Consider the following 5806-nt stretch of genomic DNA (forward strand, 5'->3'; position numbering starts at 1 on the left):
GGAAAATATCTGCAAATCATATATCTAATAAGGGATTAATTTCCAGAATACATGAAGAACACTACAAATCAAAAACAGCAAAAACAGAAAAGCCCAATTAAAAAATGGACAAAAGACTGAAAGAGGGATTTTATTAAAGAAGATATACAAATGGCCAATGAGGACATGCAAGGATTCTCAATATAACTAATATTTAGAGATTTGCAAAGCAAAACCACGGTGATACATGACCTCGCACACATTAGGATGGCTTTGATAAAAACAACATGAACAACAACATCACAAAACAAGTGTTTTCAAGTACGTGGAAAAATTGAAGCTCTTTGTGTGTTGCCGATGGGAATGGGAAGTGTTATAGCCACTGTGGAAAAAATGGCATGGCACGGCCGGCTCATGCCTGTAATCCCAGCACTTTAGGAGCCGAGATGGGTGGATCTCTTGAGGTCAGGAGTTTGAGAACAGCCCGGCAAGTGTGGTGAAACCCCATCTCTACTAAAAATACAAAAATTAGCTGGGTATGGTGGCATGCGCCTGTAATCCCAGCTACTCAGGACGCTGAGGCATGAGAATCACTTGAACCTTGGAGGTGGAGGTTGCAGTGAGCCAAGATTGCACCATTGCACTCCAGTCTGGGTGACAGAGCAAGACCCTGTCTCAACATCAACAACAGAAAAGAAAATGGTATGTCAGTTTCTTAAAAAAAATTAAAGCATTACCACTTGAACCAGCAATTCTACTTCTGGACATACAGCCAAAAGTATTGAAAAATATTTGAACAGATATTTGTACACTGATGTTTACAGCAGCATCACTCACAATAGCCAATGGGTGGAAACAACTGAAAAGTCTATTGAAAGATAAGTGGATGAACAAAAAGGTATATCCATACTTTGGAATGTTCTTCAATCTTAGCAAGGGATAAAATTTTGACACATGGTGCAAAATGGATGAACCTTGAAGACATTATGCGAAGTGAAATAAGCCAGACACAAAAGGATAATTATTATATACTTCCATTTATGTAAGATAGTTAGAATAGTCAGTTACTTAGAGACAGAAATTAGAATGGTGATTACCAGGGGTTAAGGGGAGAAGGAATGAGAGTTATCATTTATTGGGTTCAGAGGTTTAGTATAGTAGGATAAAAAAAGCTCTGGAAATAGATAGTGTTGATAGTAACACAACACTAAATTGCACGCTTAGAAACAGTTAATAGTAAGTCTTAGATGTATAGTGTCTGGTACTCTTACCCTCTCTGTAAATGCACACTTTTTGTCGCTGTTCCTCCCCTGCCATAGAGAGCTTCTGTGAGTTAATCTCCCTATTTCTCCAAGTGTCCATCACTCACTGTCCTCTGTGTTGTGTTCCAGGAGCTCTGTCCACAGACTCAGACAGGCAGTGACTTCAGAGCCAGGACACAGCCCTATTCCCATTTTTTAAAGCCTTACCCATGGGAGGCTTGGCTTCTACTGGCAGCTCGATTTAGCCAGATTCAGAACCGGCCACCCAGGCACCTTATCCACATGCCCTGGCCCCAGCCCAGGTGGAGTCAGGGCAGGGTCAGTCACTGGGCGAGCCCACAGCAATGCAGGGAGCAGAGTCTGAGCTGCTTCTCCCTCACCAAGGGGCTTCCTCCTCTCATTGGAGAAAAGTGTGGGCTTGTTTTGAAGCCTCTGATGTTCATCGCAGCTCATGGAGTACACACACACACAGACACACACACAAAGGAGACAGAAGGGATGTTTTGGTGACAGAAACAGCTTGACCATGAGGACCCTCCTCTTTCTCCCTCTGTGAAGGCCCTTACACTGCATAGTGCTTGGGGCTGATAAAGCCATTTCCCTACATTTCTCAGGCTGGACCCAAGGTCATCCACCAGAAATCTGGCAAACAAAGGGAAGAGAATCTGTAGATATGAATTGGGAGTGTTCAGGAGAAAAATTTGGGATTTACTTTTGTGCATGGGACACAGGCTGAGAATAAAAATGTTTTCCTGGCTCTTTCTTGGAAAGCCAGATAGGCTTCACCTGAAAGCATATTGCCAATGCTCCAGCGATCCACTTACCAGGGACTCTGATTTTCTTGGTTGCGAAGTTTTTGCCATTAGTGACTGGGTTATGGACATAACACAGATAGTCCCCACTATTCTCAGTAGTGACTTGGGGGATAAAGAGCTCTTGTCCTATTTGCTGGTTATTCCCATTCAGCAGCCAAGAATACTCTGCTGATGGGTTAGAGCCCATGAGGCAGGAGAGGTTGAGGTTTGACCCTGGATAGTAATAGGTGTCTGAAGAATAAGTTGTGGGTTCATCTGGGCCATCTGGAGCAAAGAGAATAATGCCACAGGTAATGTTATCAGAGGGAATGGGAAGCTCCTGGTCTGTGAAAGGGGCACAGTGTTCCTTTTTGCCAAGTCACAACCCCGAAGTCCCAGCCAAACTTCCTCTGTGTTCACTGAACTGGAGTAGTCTAAGAAATTCACGTGTTCTCCCATCACAAGCTGTGGAACCAGAGTCTCCTAAGACCAGAGAAGCCCCTCCCCTCCTGGGCCTACCCAGGTTTTTCTGGGGCAGGAAGTCATGGCCAGCTTGGGGGTCCAGGGGTAAGTGTCTTCATACTTGAACCTGAGAGGGACTGAGAGGCCTGGCCTCATGTTATGTGGATTTGGGCCGGCAGCCTTGTCCATGAAGGAAAAGAGGATACTCACAGAGAACATCCAGGTGACTGGGTCAATTTGGCTGGTACTCACTACATTCTTCCTTTGACATTCATAGAGTCCTGTGTCACTCCTTGTGATACTGAGTAGAGCAAGGATCCTGTTGTCATTGGACATCTTTAGCCTGGGACTGAGTGTGAGTCTATGACCATTTACCCACCACATGTAGATTGTGCCATGAATGTCAGGTTCACAGGTTAAGACCACAGCCTCCTCATCCTCTGTGGGGTTGCTGGTGACATAGGGCTTGGGAACATTCGCTGTGCAGATAACAGAGAAGATTCCCCTGTGTGGCACCACTGATTTCTCCATGAGCATTTTCCAATCAGAGTTGACATCTCCCACCTCTCAGCAAATCTAAGTCCTTAAAAGCCCACAGCAGGTCTGTGTGTCAAAAGACAGATGGATGCATGATGATCTGAGGGCTCAGAGGCCATGGGGCCACCTGCTCTGTGTGGGAGATGCACAGACTTCTGAAGTGTGGATTGAGCAGCAATATTGGTGAAGTGTGAATTGAGCAGGGTCAAACAATTAGAGTTTGATTAACTTTGTTTAAATTGAGCAGAGCCCAAGTGAGGCAGCAGTGGCTCATGCATCTCCCCAACCGAAGCACCCCACCTTATGACAATGTGGTTATTATGAATACACAGGTGTGAATGAAACAGGCAGTAAATCAGACAGCACCCACCTGGCCAGCTCCACCTGGTCCTAGGAACCACCATTATTCCCATTATGTGTATGTTACAGCTTTTTAGGCTACAAAATATAAAATACAATCACAGAATATAAAATATGCTATTGTCAATACAAAATATTGAATATGAAGCTGAATATGTTGTTCCACTTTTTCTCACTCTTGTTAAGCTTTGCTGATTCAGTTTTGGAAGTTTCTATTGACACACACTTAAGCTAGAGATTCTTTCCTCAGCTGTGTGCAGCCTACCAGTAAGCCCATGGAGGGCATTCTTTATTTCTCTTAAAGTATTTTTAATCTCTAGCATTTCTTTTGCTTCTTTCTTAGAATAGCCATCTCTGTTTAAATCACCCATCTATTCCTGAAAGGTGTCTCCTTTTTCCATCATAATCCTTAACCAGAGTTGTTTTAAATTTCCAGTCTGATAATTTCAACATCCCTACCACATCTGTGTCTGGTTCCAATCCTTGCTCTGTCTTTCAAACTGCATTTTTTTTTTTTTTTTGCCATAGTCTGTCTTGTATTTTTTTGAAAACCACACATGATGTACTGGGTAAAAGGGACTTGAGTGGGTGGGCATTCAGTGACACGGTGGTGAGTGTTGGGAGGGAAGGGTTCTGTGGTTCTGGATGAGATCTGTGTCCTGGGCTGTGAATGTCACAAGTGCCTCTCAGGTTTTTCTTTCCATTAGGTGGGATATGATGACTTGAGGAGGCTGGAGTTGGATACTTCCCCTCCCCCTGGCCAGTTAAGCTCCCATCAAACCCCAGCTAATTAGGCTGCAGTAAAATAGTTTCTCTTAAATTTAGGTCTTACCAAGAAGAATATAATTCACTGACAACTTTCCAAGTGTTTTTTTCCCTTCTTCCTAGAAGAAGGATGTGGATTCTTTTTGGATATTGACTGTGAGAAACTGGTAGAGCTCCAGGAGCTAAGAGTCATAAATCTGTCCCCCTACTCCCAAGACTAATCCATCCACTGGTGTGTTTATCTCTGCACTGTGTCCACACTGAGCCTCCAGAATTTCCTCAATTAGAGTTCAGGTTTTCTGACCCCAGCACTTGTTCCCGCTGAGGTTTCTGTGCCTGTGTTTCTGCTCAGGTACGGTGCGCTGCTCTGTATTTGCCTGTGGGTCTCTCCAATATGTGGGCCAGTTAGCACTGAGACCTTGCTTCCAGAGAAATCTAAATGAGTTGTTGATTTTTCAGTTTGTTCAGCTTTTTACTTGTTGTTAGAACTGAGTGAAAATTTTTAAGCTACTTACATGCCTGACGGAAATTCGAAGTGTCTAGGGCATGACTGGAGGATATGAGCCCCACAGCAGGTTGAGGATGGAGTCATGAGTGAAATGGGTGAAATGAGCCCATGGGCTTTGGAAACTGCAGATCTGTCCTTCTGCCTCTGACCCCCTGGTGAGTCCATGAAGAAAGTGAAACCACCTTTGCGAAGCATAAGATGGTGAGAGGAAGCTAGCTTGGCTGACCGCATCTCACCTCTAGTCTCAAACTGGCCCTCTTCTCTGATTCCTGGACATAGGCCAGGGTAAGCATGGGAGGAATTTATAGTTTAACTTTGAAGCAAGGATGATAATAGTCCCTCCCTAAAATTAGCTCCTCCTTGTCGGGGGCTACCTTGGTAAATCTAAGAAAAGACCACGAATTATGGGAGGGGCCCAAATTCTGCTAAAATGCAGGCATAGTTTCTATAATCCCTTACTTCTCAGGAGTCATGTATCCAGAGGTCACAAGATTTGTGACTTTCCTAGTTGCTCCTATAGATAGCAAGACTACTGTAGAATCTGAGATTTATCTTTTGAGATGTTTCAGACTTTTGCATTCTGGCAACCAGCTGACCTCATCTAGACTCATGACCAATGGCTAAACCAGTCATGTGGCCCCCACTCAGAGGCAGATTCAACAAATACATACCATTTTGCCTACGTGCATCATTTCATCTCCAGCCGGTCAACAGTACTTATTCCTTAGACCTTTGCCCCTTCAAAGTTTTTGAAAAACTCTAACCTCAGAGCCATTGGGGAAGGTGATTTGAGTCATAATAAATTTCTGTCCTCCTTTTTGGCAGCCTTGGGCTAAGCAAAACCATTCTTTACTACACATCACCTTCACAATAAATTGGCTTTGCCTGTGCAGAGGGCAAGAACCTGTCAGGTGATTGTAAGAATGGATGGAGGAGTCACTGATCTCTTTCAGGTGGCCTGTTTCATGAGTCAGCCTCTCAGAGGGAAAGAGCCCTGGACTGGGACACAGTGGAAGCTCATTCTCCTGGTGACCCGGGGACATTGCCTCATTATGGATCCTGGCAGGGGTGGCTACTCTGGCTGATTTTGGTGCATTTTTCATTTCCCAGAAGGCAGGACAGGCCTCAGTGTGAGCAGG

General features: G+C 44.4%; 1 pseudogene; it reads right to left on the reverse strand.

Moving 5' to 3' along the window:
- On the reverse strand, positions 2066-2976 carry CEACAMP6 (CEA cell adhesion molecule pseudogene 6; annotated as a pseudogene).

The sequence above is a fragment of the Homo sapiens genome, chromosome 19 (genome assembly GCF_000001405.40).
Source record: "Homo sapiens chromosome 19, GRCh38.p14 Primary Assembly".
Lineage (NCBI taxonomy): Eukaryota > Metazoa > Chordata > Mammalia > Primates > Hominidae > Homo > Homo sapiens.